General features: G+C 44.7%; 1 protein-coding gene across 5 annotated transcripts in view, besides 1 other annotated feature; it reads right to left on the bottom strand.

Annotated features, from left to right (window-relative positions):
* The window catches only part of CMTM8 (CKLF like MARVEL transmembrane domain containing 8), a 132,130-nt gene that overhangs the window by 2,695 nt on the left and 114,902 nt on the right, over positions 1 to 14,533 (bottom strand). For 4 of the 5 annotated variants that reach the window (XM_011533416.4, NM_178868.5, XM_017005779.2 and 1 more), the window contains one exon: positions 10,081 to 10,254. The exons of the other annotated variant lie outside the window; for it this stretch is intronic. In XM_011533416.4, coding sequence (XP_011531718.1) covers positions 10,081 to 10,254 — 174 coding nt within the window. The remainder of the gene's footprint in view (positions 1 to 10,080; positions 10,255 to 14,533) is intronic. 5 annotated transcript variants of the gene reach the window in all.
* Positions 8,051 to 8,730: an enhancer, noted in NCBI's record as "H3K27ac hESC enhancer chr3:32400389-32401068 (GRCh37/hg19 assembly coordinates)". NCBI's record gives its function as "activates a minimal SCP1, AML or CMV promoter by ChIP-STARR-seq in naive H9 embryonic stem cells {active_cell/tissue: H9 hESC(naive)}" and the evidence as "EXISTENCE:reporter gene assay evidence [ECO:0000049][PMID:30033119]".

The following is a 14,533-nucleotide window of genomic DNA, read 5'->3' as shown; positions in this document are numbered from 1 at the left end:
CATTTTGCTTCTTCGGTTTGCTCCTGAGCCTCATCTCATCCAGATGTCAGCCAAGCTGATGCTGTCTGAGGATGGCAGGCAGCAGTGGCGCCCACTCGGTGGGCTCAGCCTCAGCCCCTGGCCCTCAGCCGCAGCTGTAGCCCTTGCATGTGTCCCTGACGTAGAGGCGCAATACAGTGTCCCCCAAAACAGGCCCAGCTGATTCCCTAACCCCCCATTCCAAACAGGGAGGGATATTTAAATGAGCTCCTCTGTCCTAGCTGCAAGTTCTTAAAAAGGCGGTTACAGCCCTTTGGGAACTAATGTTACCCTTGGCTTTACCTTATTTGTTCCTATTTTTAGAGAAGATATGTAAGTCCCGGTAGGTATTTGGTTTTCAGTTATGTCTAAACTCTAAGAAACCATGCTCTGAACCATGCATAGGAAACCATGCAAAGCTGGGTCCTGCCTGAACACAGGGGAGAGGCAGGGGTGAGGTGAAACCAGAGCAGAAACCAACTGGGGAGGAAGGGGGATGCCTCTCAGGAGTGGGCCCTCTGTGGTCTAACATCTTTCCCTCAGTAACTTGGAGACAGAGGAAGGGGTAGGGGAAAGGGAGGAAGCAATCTCTTTCTTCTCAGAGAAAAAAAAGCTACATAGAATTTTCCCACTGCAGGCCCTGGCCTTGTGGCAGAGGTTGTATGTTCCTGTCGCCACCTCCACCTGTGCTCACACTGTCTTCAGGTCAGGGCACTTAACCTTTAAGACAAGGGCTTCATCACAGTCAGACCCAGGGTCAGGCTGCCGAAACTGTCCCCTAAGAAGCCCTGGTCTCACTAAATGACTCATTAGGAATGTCGGTTGTGTTCTTTTGTTTACTTTTTGGTCTAGAAACACATCTGTGCATTAACACAAAAGCTCTTACTGGTATTATTTCCCCATATCACCTCTTAGAATATAGAGTCACGCAAATTTAATACTTGCCAAGCCATTTAGTCTTGTCTTGCCACTAATACTTCATAATTTAACTTTTCCCCTATTGATGGGCATTTCAATGTTGCTAATTTTTCAAGGATTACAAATGCTACTGCAACGAACATCTTTGAGGATGGGTTTCAGGGCTCTCATGCATGTCTAGTTCTTTATACAAGGAAAGAATGAATGAGAATGAATGAAAGAGAATTCAGGGAAAGCTCAGCCTGGCCAGAACTGCCCTGACGTCCTGGGCCTTGTGCACGAGCCCATGTGGACGAGGGGGCCAGAGAGGAGATGGGGAAAGAAAGACTCTCTGAGTCTACGACCTGTGAACATGCAATGATCCCATCTCTCAGTAAGTATGGCCCATTTTTTCTGAACTCTAAAGAAACAAGAAACTGCTATTTCCCTTGGAAAGAAATGGGGAAGGGGAAGAGGGTTGGTAGAGACGTGAGTAGAAGGCAGGGGCATTCTCCCTCTGTGCGCCCCCCACACTGGGGGCTCTGCCAGTTTATTACAAGCCTCTCTCAGGCACTATCTCACAATGCCTAACTTTGTGACTTCCCTAGTCTTGTTTAACACTCCCAAAAGTAAACATGTCCGGGGAATGCCTGGGTTGGAGGAAATGTAGTGAAAATAAGTGGAGAGATGAAAGAAAAGAGAAGAGCAAAGAAACCAGGATCGTCATAAAGGTTAAAAAAAGAAATCTGGGCTACAGAAATGAAGGAGGGATATGTGAAGCTTCAGAGGGTTCTAGAATGTTACTGAGTTTCATAGAAACATGAGGTCTTGTTGCTATAGAGAAATAGGCCCTGGATCAGAGACTATTCAAGTTGAAAAATCTTATAGCTCCTCCAACTGAAATGCCAGTTCCCTGGGCCACAGTGAAAGAGAGCTACAAGGACAATATAGTAATTTAAAAATTCCGCTGGGTGCAGTGGCTCACACCTGTAATCCCAACACTCTGGGAGGCCGAGGCGAGTAGATCACCTGAGATGTCAGGAGTTCGAGACCAGCCTGGCCAACATGGTGAAATCCCATCTCTACTAAAAATACAAAAATTAGGCAAATGTGGCGATGGGCCCTGTAATCCCAGCTACTCAGGAGGCTGAGGCTTGAGAATCACTTGAACCTGGGAGAGGGAGGTTGCAGTGAGCCGAGATCACGCCACTGCACTCCAGCCTGGGTGACAGAGTGAGACTCCATCTCAAAAACAAAAACAAACAAAGAACAACCAAAAACACACACACAAAAACAGAAGGTTTCCAACTTCTTTTTTTGGAGGAAGGGAGGAGAGAGAAGTCTACTCTTTTCTGAAAGTCAATCCCTCCTTGGTATAAAAATGTTCTCTTTCTCTCTTTTTTTTTTTCTCAAATACCGGCTTATTTTTACCCAGCTATGCATAGTACTTGTGGACATATTAAGATAAATCTCAGATCTCAAGATAATGGAAAGAAGCCCTGAGATAATATACAGTTAGTAAATTTGGCTGTGGTGACATGACCCAAGACGGTGGCTTAGGAAAGAGAGTTTACTCCTATCTAAGGCTTAGGCAGCCAGAGCTGGTCTGGCAGCCTCGGGGTGACAGGGACACAGGCTCCATCCACAATACTTGGCCATCTCCAGGGTCTCACCATTCTCCACATGGCCCAGGAGGTGTCCCACTACCACAGCAGAATCCCAGCTGCTAGGAAGGGGAGGAGGGGGAGAAGAAAAAAAAGCAGCCCCACTTTAGGGCCATGGTGCTTCACACATCACTGCTGCGAACATCCCCTCAGCTGGAACTCAGTCCCAGGGCCCACCCAGTGGCAGAGGGGCCAAGGCTCAACTGAAACTTCTATTACTACAGAAGAAAATGGATAGTGGGGGATAATGAGCAGCTCCTGTCCCTAGTGTTACATCTATTCAGACAGCTAAGAAGGCAAGATTTTCAGGCATCTGATATCCTCAAGAGTCCTCAAGAGTTTAAAGACATAGCTACCTAGGTTCACCATCTGGCATACCCAAACCGCTGAAAATTTAAGTGAACATTTGGGAAGGATGGCTCCCCTGGAGCTTCACCTGCCTCTCTTCTTAGCATTTATTTAAATATCCCTCTGCTTAGTATAATCAGCCTTGTACACATCTTTTCCATCAGAGTCCATTTCTTTTCTGTCTTTTTTTTTCTTTTGAGACAGAATCTTACTCTGTCACCCAGGCTGACTGCAGTAGCGTGATTTTGGCTCACTGCAACCTCTGCCTCTCAGGTTCAAGCGATTCTCGTGCCTCAGCCTCCTGAGTAGCTGGGACTACAGGCGCATGCTACCACGCCTGGCTAATTTTTTGTATTTTTAGTAGAGATGGGGTTTCACTGGGTTAGCCAAGATGGTCTCGATCTCCTGACTTCATGATCCACCCGCCTCAGCCTCCCAAAGTGCTGGGATTACAGGCGTGAGCCACCGCACCCGGCCTAATTTTTATTTTTAGTAGAGACAGGTCTTGCTATGTTGCCCAGGCTGGTCTTGAACTCCTGGGCTCAAGTGATCCTCCTGCCTTGAACTCCTAAAGTGCTGGGATTACAAGGCATGAGCCACTGCACCTGGCCCAGAGTCCATTTCTTAAGGGTGGTAGGGATGTCCGCTTCACCTGCGGCTTGCCTTTCTGGCTCTCTAGTCCCTATTACCACACATTGGTGGAAGAGACACTCATGCTTGACAGAAGAGATTGGGTCTGGGCAAAGGCTGAGGAAAAGGTACAGGCTGATGCTGGCTAAGAATCCCCTTTTCCCTCCCCACCTTGTCTACAACCAGCTAGTAAAGGAGCTCAGTGCTACTCAAAGTGCAGGAGTGGTATCAGCACTATCTGGAAATCTGTCAGAAAAGCATGTTCCCAGGCCCTACCCCAGACACACTGAATCAGGTCTGTTGGGAATCTCCATGTAGGTTTCATCTAAAAAGCTGTATTTTGAATCCACAACCAAAAAAGAAAGAAGGAAGATATGATAAGCAACTAGAAGAAGGGCTGCAGGATACAGGAGATGGGCCAATGCAGCGCTCACAGCTATGTGGCTTTGGGGAAATAACCTCTTCAGCTGCTTCGTCTGTGGCAGAGCTGCTGGCTGTCTCCTGCTATGTTTCTCTCTTATTATATGGTAACGGAGTTTCCAGCTGAGCACATGGCCACCTAAAGATTCCACCTTCCAGCCTCCTTTGGAAGGAGATGTGGTCAGGTGACCACGTTTAGGCTAACAGAATGTGAGCAGATGTAACATATACAATGTCAACACTGTGCCTTAAAGGGAAGAAGTACCCTCCACTGCCCACTTTTTACCTTCTCTCCCCCTGACTAGGAATCTAGATGTGATGGCAGGTGCTGAAGCTGCCACCTTGGACCACAGGCCAACTGTTAAAGATGGCAGAGTCACAAGAAAGGAGGAACCTGGGGCACAGGTGATCTTATAGAACAGGTGACTTACTTCTGGACTATCACAGGAGAGAGAAATAAGTTTTAAACCAATGTTGTTTTGGACCTCTCTTATAGGGATTAAACCTACCATCAAACTGATTGTACTCAATTTACAAAATGGGAAAAACTATACAAGTCTCACCCATCTCAAAGGAGACCATATTGTTAAAGAGTTGTGTAAACTATAAAGTATACACAGTAACTTACTTTTCTTATTCCTGTTTAATGATTGTATCAGCTAGAGGCCAGAGGCAGTCATTTAGAAATTGACTGTGCCCGTCAGGCTAAGGCATTTGGATTGACTGGTTAAGAGGAGACAGGAAGACTCAGTGGATCCTGGTTATAACATGATCCCACCAGGTGACAGCAGGGACTTAGGCCTGTAGGTTCAGGCAGGCTGGCTGGAGACAGAGCAACAGGAAGGTCCCATTTTCTGACTCTCAGCCCCTGCCAATAAGTCATGTGCTCAGTTCTGGCACCATCATTAGAAGAAGGGTCTTTTGGAAGATTTACAATAACAAATGGGACTCTTTAGAACTGCTATGCTGAAAAGACTGCCAAGACCCAACATCTGGGCTGGCACTTCCTGCTCAGGATGGCACAGTGGAAATGGCTACTTCCAAGGGCAAGAGAAACTGGAATATCTGTGTATACTGGGAGCCAAACAGACTCCAAGGTTCACAACTGTGGTTGGTATTAGAAGACCTGCCTCCCATTCCTGGCTCTCAAGCATCCTCTCAGTGCCCCAGTTTCTTCATCTGCAAAATGGAAATAATGCATTCTATCTTTGCAGAGTTACTGTAAGGATTAAATGAAATGATGTAAAATATAAAGGACCCAGTGTGACATCTAGCACATAGTATGTACTTAAGAAATAGTAACTGCCGGCCAGGTGCGGTGGCTCTCGCCTGTAATCCCAGCACTTTGGGAGACGAAGACGGGCAGATTACCTGAGGTCAGGAGTTCAAGACCAGCCTGGCTAACACGGTGAAACCCCGTCTCTACTAAAAAAATACAAAAATTAGCTGGGCGTGGTGGTGAGCGCCTGTAATCCCAGATACTCAGGAGGCTGAAGCAGGAGAATTGTTTGAACCCGGGAGGCGGAGGGTGTAGTGAGCCGAGATTGCACCACTATACTCCAGCCTGGGCAATAAAGTAAGACTCCATCTCCAAAAAAAAAAAGAAAAGAAAATAGTAGCTGCTTTAACCGGTAAAAGGAGACAAACATCTCTGCTCTCTGGAGCTCACAAGGCTTGCAGTGAGGTCAGCAGGGATGAGCTACAGAGGACGAATCCTCAGGAAACACATGCATGTAGACCCTAGTGCTTGGTGCTATGAAGAAGGCAAATTTTATTGCTTTGAACTTTTAGCTTAAATCAGATTTGTTGGAAAACCTATCCAAGTCTCCCTGAATAAATGGTATCATAACAGTTGTAGCCCAGGAGCTCAGAGGTGCTAGTAGGAACCAGCTGTGGTTTCTGCTGCATATTAAAAATGGATATAGGTCACTTTCTACCTCCCCAGACACATTAAGGGGATGAGCTATTGTTAAGATAAGATTCCAATGCAAAGTTCATGCCTTATCAATGAAGGCACTACACGCAAGATTATAAAACTCTGGTTTCTGCAGTGGTCTCCCAGACAAGTTCCCAGGGGACTAAAACCAAGTCTACCAATCCCTTCTCTACAATCTTAGATTCCCTAAATGCTCTGAAAAGCAAGACTAAATTCAAAAGTCATTTGGTAGTAAAAGCTGACCTGAGCTGACATGGTAGCAATGTGGTCTTCATTATCCCTCTTAGCAGGAAAATCCACGTGTTGTTGCAGAAACATTAATTTGTCTCATTACAGTACAGCCCCAGACTCAGGGGTACATGTCACATATTGTTGTAAATGCACCAAATTACCTTATTACCTTTCCAAAATTTGAAAGAAAAAAAAACTCTTAGGCTGGGCGCCGTGGCTCACACCTGTAATCCCAGTACTTTGGGAGACCGAGGCGGGTGGATCACCTGAGTTGGGGAGTTTGAGACCAGCCTGACCAACATGGAGAAACCCTGTCTCTACTAAAAATATAAAATTAGCTGGGCGTGGTGGCGCATGCCTTTAATCCCAGCTACGCGGGAGGCTGAGGCAGGAGAATCGCTTGAACCCGGGAGGTGGAAGTTGCAGTGAGCTGAGATCGCGCCATTGCACTCCAGCCTGGGCAACAAGAGTGAAACTCCATCTCAAAACGAAACAAAACAAACTCTTAATTCACATCTGACCCAAAGGTTTTGACTCAGAGATTATGGATCTATAACTATTTTTAAACCAGTGTTTCCCACATTTTAGATGCCTAAGAATTATCTGGAAATCTTGTCATAATGGAGATTCTGAAGCCCTCTACAGAATTTCTGATTCAGTCAGTACAAATCAGAATTAGAGTAGGGCCTAACATTCTGTATTCCTAATAATCTCCCAGTGATGCTGCTGGTCCAGGGACCACACTTTGAGCAGCAAGAGTTTAGGCAGTCCAACTCGGCAGCAGGAGCCTGTCAGCTGCCTCAGCACAAAGTCCCAGCCTGACACTTGCTATGCTCCTGATTTGTGCTGGGACACGACAGTTGGGCTGGCATCTGAATCCCCCACAGGCTGTTCTGTAAGAGATTCTGCTGGGCAGTGGAAAATATGGAAGTTTAGTCAGAGCCTTTAGTTGTTAACAGACGGAAACTTTTTCCAGTCTCCGCTCTGGATATTTGGTTAACACCATGTACCCAACTCACAAATGCTTTGAGAAGTTACAAAGGTGTATTTAGTTGTAACAGTAAACATAAACCCCAACCAGAAGTCAGACATGTTTGACCTGTAGCTTCTGCCAGCAGCAAACGAATTCTAAGAATATGGCTGTAAGCATTTTAAAATTGGGAGAGTTCACACCAAAGCCCAGATTTCTAGATTGCCTTAGAAAACAAATAGAAAATTTAGCAATCCTGGCAGCACATTTCCAGCTTATTTATTTGTGAAGTGAAGAATATTCTCAAGTTGTTTAAGATGCTAAGAAAGTGTGTCTGGGTGGCAAGGTTCAATACCATGCTGAGTTTACTCACTTGTACAACCTGACTGGTGCCTCACATATGTGAGTGTGCAACCCCTGACCTGGAGGCTGACAGCCTTGCTTAAGGGGGATAAATGATTAAACCCTTCTAAAGGGATTAGGAGTCCTGGTTTCCTGGTGTCTGGTTGTAGTTCCTACCTACCGCTCAGGCAGAGGGGGCCTGGAGCAGGATGAGATCAGAAAACAAATGCTGATGGAATTCGAGAGATGTGGACCCCTGCTGTGTGTAAATCTGTGCAAAGTCACAAGACTCCAAACCTCAGTTTCCTTATCTATAAAATGGGGACACACCTTACGATAATAAATTCTGATAATGCAAATCAAAGCATTTTAAAACCAGGGGTGCCGGAAGAAGGCATTGTTAATATTCTTTTTAAAAGTCCAATTAAAGGCAATATTTTAAAATTTTTAATGTAATAAATCAGTGAAGGAGTTTTAGGCTTGGAGAAGAGAAAGACTACATATGATCAACACAAGAGGTCTGTAAACTATGGCCTGTGGGTCAAATCTGGCCCATCACTAGTTTTGTTTTGTTTTGTTTTGAGACAGAGTCTCACTCTGTCGCCCAAGCTGGAGTGCAGTGGCGTGATCTCAGCTTATTACAACCTCCGTCTCCTGGGTTCGAGCGATTCTCCTGCCTCAGCCTCCCGAGTAGCTGGGATTACAGGCATGTGCCACTACGCCAGGCTAATTTTTGTATTTATAGTAGAGACGGGATTTCGCCATGTTGGCCAGGCTGGTCTCAAACCCCTGACCTCTGGTGTCTACCCAAAATGCTAAGATTACAGGTGTGAGCCACCATGCCCGGCCACCACCAGTTTTTGTAAATAAAGTTTTACTGGAACACAGCCATGCTCATTCATTTACAAATTGCCTATGGCTTCTCTCAATGCTGCAGGCAGAGTTGAGTGGCTGGGCCGTAGGCGTGTGGCCCAAGACGACTACAGTACTTACTATCTGGTCCTTTACAGAGACAGCATGCCAATTGCTGATCTAGATAACATAACTAGAAATTGAGACTCATGCAAAAGGGGAAATAAGGGTACTGTCCATTCCTCCATCCCAACAATTTGCTCCCCTACTACACTGTCCAAGTTCCTCTTCTTCCAAGTTCACAGTCACTTTCTTCAAGACCCACCCTAGGACACAACTTTGTCCAAAATGGCATTCCTTAAATTCCAACCTACTTTGATTATTCCCTCATCCTGTGTTCCTATAGTTACTATTACTTCAAGGTGCTAACTTTTTTTGAATCTAGCATCTAAGCGAGTCTTTCCCTCCTGATGCCCATCTGAGGCAGCAAAACACCAATTCTAACAAGGCTGTTTCCACCACCCTAGACAGTGATTAAGCACCTTATTTGGAATTACTTTTCAAACTTGCAACGCTTTCTTGAAAATCTTAATAAAGAGTCCTTACTTTTGGATTTGGGGAAATGGTCAAGAGTCAGTCAATCTGCCTTGTGAAATAAAGTAAGACTTGTTTTCCTGGGGGACTTAGCTTAGCAACACAGAAAGAACAAAGCCAGGTGCGTTTTGAACAATGATAGTGTTGTCTGAAAGTGTGCCAACTTAACTTAGTCTATAACCACAAATAGACTATATTTCAAATTTGGTTCATAAGTCAGTTATTTGGAACTAAATATTTTTTCTCACATATTGGTTGAAAACAGACAAAAAAATAGTATCACTGGAGAGCTCTGTTTTATACATAAACACATGTGGTACCACTGGGATTTTTTTTGTAAATCATTTAGCTACTTTGAATTTGCCAACCAGATTGTCAATGCTCTTAAGGCAAGGGGAACCCACTTTCCATCTCTGTGAATCCACTTAGGATGTGTGTGTTCGATCTCCAGGATGAAGCTAAATGTCACTTCCTCTCTGAAGAGTTCCCAGCCATCCTAAGCTGAGGTGGCAGCCTCCATCACACTTTCTACACAGCTTCACTGCAGTGTATGCCACAGGGTCTCGTATCTACTCATTTTCTTATCTATTTACCCTGGACCACATGTTCACCATCCTGCATCCAGCATGGTGCCAGAGCCAGGATGAGAATCCAGTCATTCCTGACAATTCTCCTTTTCAAATATATAAGAACACCTATGTTTTCTAATAGCAATTTTCATTTGCATTCTAACTCCATACACAATGTGCTCCAACATCATAAGAGCTGTGATGTACAAAGGGTTAAGGCCACAGCCCCAGGAGAGGTTTATAGGAAGCACGATCTGCAGAGGTTGGCGCCCTGGCATATTTATTTCCAGTTGACATTGTTCACAGGGAAATAATAAAATGAGAATCTAATGGAGAGAACCTGGCTTTTCTTGATTCAGTCTTCTGAGAATTGGTTTGCAATTCTGCCTGAAAGGAATTTCTGGACCTTCTAATGTGCCCAGTTTCACACCCAGGTGTAAGCCACTTGAAAGGCAATTAGATGATGCTGAGATTATCTGCTGTGTTGAGTTCTCCATGGTATGGCCCCACCTTTTCTGGGCAGAGAGACAGTCTTGGATTGACTAGTAGAGGACTAATGCCATCTACCGAGTGGGCACTGGACAAGACCACCACCCACAGCTTCCTTACCACTGTTGTCCAGGGCACCTGGGGAATCCTGGTGTAGGTCATTGTTATGTAGATAATGAGGAAGAAGACGGTGAGGACCCAGTAAAATACAGCTACAAACATGACCCAGCCAAATGCGGGGACCCGGAAGTACTCAGTTCCAGCAATAAGCGTCCATACCAGCAGCCCCAGAACCTGTAAAGTGGTAGAAGCAGTGGAGAGAGGAGGGGACAGTAGAAGATAAAGAAAAAGAAGGAAGGAGGGACAAAGAAAAAAAAATAATTATACAGAATGTCAATTACAACTTATTTATTTATTTATTTGAGATGGAGTCTCGCTCCCGTCGCCCAGGCTAGAGTGCCATGGAGCAATCTTGGCTCACTGCAACCTCCACCTCCCGGGTTCAAGGGATTCTCCTTCCTTAGCCTCCCAAGTAGCTAGGATTACAGGCGTGCAGCACCATGCCTGGCTAAGTCAATTACAACTTTCATGCATATACCCCACCTTCCCCTGCCATGACTTAAAAATATTACAGGGTTTGCAAACTCATGTGCCTACAAATGCCAGGAAGGTAACCATGGCAGTCCAGGCAGGGACCAACAATATCTTGTTTTAGGGGGTTCTCTTAAAATTCAGCTCTAGCTGATAGTTGTGGGCTGGTTTTGCCAGGTCTTCTCCATCCCAGGAGAACACAGAAACTCAAGCTTGTACATAATAATCTTGATTTTAAATATTAGTACTAATCAGGGGTTTTAAAACACCACTTGGTGAGAAACAACATCCATGGCTGGAATTTGCTCCCAGGCTGGTATTTGTCAAGGAAATGAGACTGCAGGTGTACTTGGAGGTGGTCCCTGGAGCTGATCTGCTTTCAAGGGACGAACCTCTGGGCATTCCCTGCTCTTCTCACAGATGGCCAGTAACATGTGGTCTGAGACAGCTTTCAGAAGAGAGAATGAACAGCGGCCCAGTCCAGATGTGGACACTCAGTATTTTACCACACGTTGTGCATTTACCCTAGCAATAGTCATCCAACTGCTGACAAGTAAGACCATACCCAAAGCCAAAGTAACACTACTCATTGACTAAAGGAAGACTTCATCAAGCAAAAGGAAACTGACCTAAACTGTAGGTGTCTTGAGTCCTGGACAAAGGAAGGCTAGAGCAAGGTATGCACTCACATTCTAGCACCTTCCAGGTGGACTTTATTCCTAAGTCACAAAAAAGTTGAGATGTGAACCACATGCCCAGGACACAGCAACAGGAGTCCAGGGTGGGCTCTAGCCCTGCAAGTCCTGGCTCGCTGTGTGACTCAGGACAAAGAATTTCATTTCTGGTTTAGCTTTCTTTGTGGTATATGAATCAAAATACTAAAGTAACTCTAATCAAGAGGCTCGGAAGACAGATTTCCTTTATTTGTTTAACACGGGAGCACCTACAATATCTGGGCTTCCTGCTATCAGGCCCCAAGGACAGTGGTATACAAATTGTACATATCCTGCTTGTAGAGCACTAAAGTCTAGTGGAGGGAAATACCTGACCGATTACAACTGTGGCAAATGTTATGAAGAAGGTAAACGGTATGATAAGGGTCTATGATGGGGGAAATGACCTTGCTGGCAGGCACAGGAAGCATCGGAGAAGTCCAGGCTGAAGAATAACCAGAAGGCTGAAAGCACTAGCGAGACAGAAGCAGGAAGGCAACATTATAGGCAGAGGACACAGCGTGGGCAAAGGTCTGAAGGTGGGAAGGGCTCTGCTACCTTCTAGAACCTGTAAGAATGTGTAGTAAGTTAGGATATTGGTGCAAAGTGTTAGAGAGCTGGGGAAGGTCAGATGATATGAGCCCAGGAGGCCTAGGGATTTTGTGCTTTATCCGAAGGGCAGTGGGAGAGTTTTAAGCAAGAGAATGTTAAGATTAGGCTAGATTTTTTTATAAAGCCACTCTGGCTGCAGGTAGAGAATGGACATGTGGAGGGGAAAGGGGGAGCAGTGGTGTGGAGACAAATTTAGAGAGCGTGCAATAATCCAAGTGGAAGAATATGAAGTCTTCAAGACCAATATGGTGGCAGTGAATATCGAGAAGTGAGTAAATTCAAGACAAATTTCAGCAGATGGTACTTTAATGGATTAGACATGGGGTTGGGGGAGGAGAAGGGAGCGGATACAATGGAATGATCTCCAGGTATCTAGAAAGATTTCTGGAGTAGATCAGGGTTGGACTTGTTCTGTTGGAACAATGGAAGAGGAACAGGCTAAAGGAGTGTTGTTCATGAGTTGAATTTTCAACCTACTCAGTCTGAGGTAGTTGGGGACCTTCAAATAGGGATTAGAAGAAGTAGATGTTGAAGAGAGACTTCAGGCCCTTCTTTAAGAAGACTTCCTGTGAAGATCTTGAAGCCATCAGACAGGTTTCCAAGGGACATGTTAAACTGCTTCCCGAGAGAAGCCACTTTCCTGGTACAGTTTTGGTGCCTGTGCCAGGGAGCAGCTAAGACTCTAAATGTTGCTGTTTCTGCTCTTTAGAGTTGAGCATCAACATTCTTTTATCTGCTTGATGTTAGTATATGAATTCCAGAGACAAGATGCTTAATGGAGATGTGCTTTTGTGTTTACATCCGTGGCAACAACACTTACTGAAAGTGAAGATACACAAAATGGGATATAATTCCAGAAAGTGCTAAGCCTCACACTAATGAGGTTTTTGGCCCGAATTGACTCTGACAGGTAATCTATACACATGTATTTGACATTCTGTTGGATCAGTAAGACTGGTAATAGATGTAATGCAGCATGGCAGCGTCTGAAACATTTCAGGCTTCTTGACTGAGATAGGGTCAGAACGGCCCTTTGTGGATGATTCACATAGGAAACATAACAGTGAGTGAAGAGGCACTGTAGATGTGTTGATAGTGTCTCTCTGTGTGATCACAAGGGCTTAAGAGTTTCCATCACAAGTCTGTATCCAGCTAAACAGGCTCAACTCACAGTTCTTGGCTCTGAATGCAAAAACGTTTTTCATTATTAACGCGAGTGAAGCCTGCTGTCCAGGTCTGCATTGTCTAGTTTGCTGGCTGTGGTCGTCTTTTACACAAAGGCACAATATTGTTAACTGAGCCGTCTTTCAAAGAACGGGAATACTTGACCCATGACCTCACAAGCAAACAAAGTAAAAAGAATGTCTCTGTCAAGAAAAGAATTGTTCTACCCAAGTGAATTTCCTAGGTAACTGAAATATATCAAGAAGCAAACCTTTTGTCTCCACTATAACCACTACTGATAAAAACCAGTCTTCAAAAATGTTACTCATCTTTTGCTTTGTGTTTAAGATAAACCTGAATCTGTATTTGCTTAGACTACAAAAATACTGTTTGTTTTCCCTGATAAGCATTTTTTTTTTAGGCTAAGACTTTTTTTTTTAATGGCAAAACTAAGACTTATAAAACATTTCAGTGATAAATGCAGGTAAAAAATTAACACAGTGAGCCGGGCATGGTGGCTCACACCTGTAAATCCCAGCACTTTGGGAGGCTGAGGTGGGCGGATCATGAGGTCAAGAGATCAAGACCATCCTGGCCAACATGGTGAAACCCCGTCTCTACTAAAAATACAAAAATTAGCTGGGCGTCGTGGTACCTGCCTGTAGTCCCAGCTACTCGGGAGGCTGAGGCAGGAGAATCGCTTGAACCCAGGAGGCAGAGGCTGCAGTGAGCCGAGATCGTGCCACTGCACTCCAACCTGGGTGACAGAGGGAGACTCCGTCTCAAAAAAAAAAAAAAAAAATTAACACAGAAGTATATTAAGAAATGACAACGCCCTTCCCTATCCGCCAGTTATAAAAATGCAAGAAAAACCAACATAAACAATTTTGTATTTACCCTTTCTGGCCTCTTTCCTTGCATTTATAACCACCGCCTGCACATCTTTCTCTTTCTTCCTTATAAATATGGATCACTCTGTTCACAGAGTCTATAACTTGCTTCTTTCAGTCAGTAATACCATGGAGGACAACCTTCCACACTACTACACATGCATCTCTGCCAATTTTAACAGTTGCTCAGTCTTCCATAATTCATGTAACCAATCCCCTATTGATAGAAATTTAGGTTGTCTTCTTTATGTTTGTACAAAAATGCTCAGAAACATTTTTATAACCTATGCCTTTGTATACCTGAATTCCAGGACAGACTTCTAGGAGGAAAATTTCTAGAATACACATTTTAAGCTTTAGAGGTACTACCAAATTGTTCAGCAAAAGCTTGTACTAATTTACTGACCAGGCACAGCTGCTCACGCCTATAATCCCAGCATTTTGGGCGGCTGAGGCAGGCGGATCACTTGAGGCCAGGAGCTTGAGACAAGCCTGGCTAACATGGTAAAACCCCATCTCCACTAAGAATACAAAAATTAGCTGGGCATGGTGGTGCATGCCTGTAATCCCAGCTACTAGGGAGGCTGAGGCAGGAGAATAGCT

The sequence above is a fragment of the Homo sapiens genome, chromosome 3, assembly GCF_000001405.40.
Source record: "Homo sapiens chromosome 3, GRCh38.p14 Primary Assembly".
Classification (NCBI taxonomy): domain Eukaryota; kingdom Metazoa; phylum Chordata; class Mammalia; order Primates; family Hominidae; genus Homo; species Homo sapiens.
This window is presented reverse-complemented; position numbering and strand designations above follow the sequence as displayed.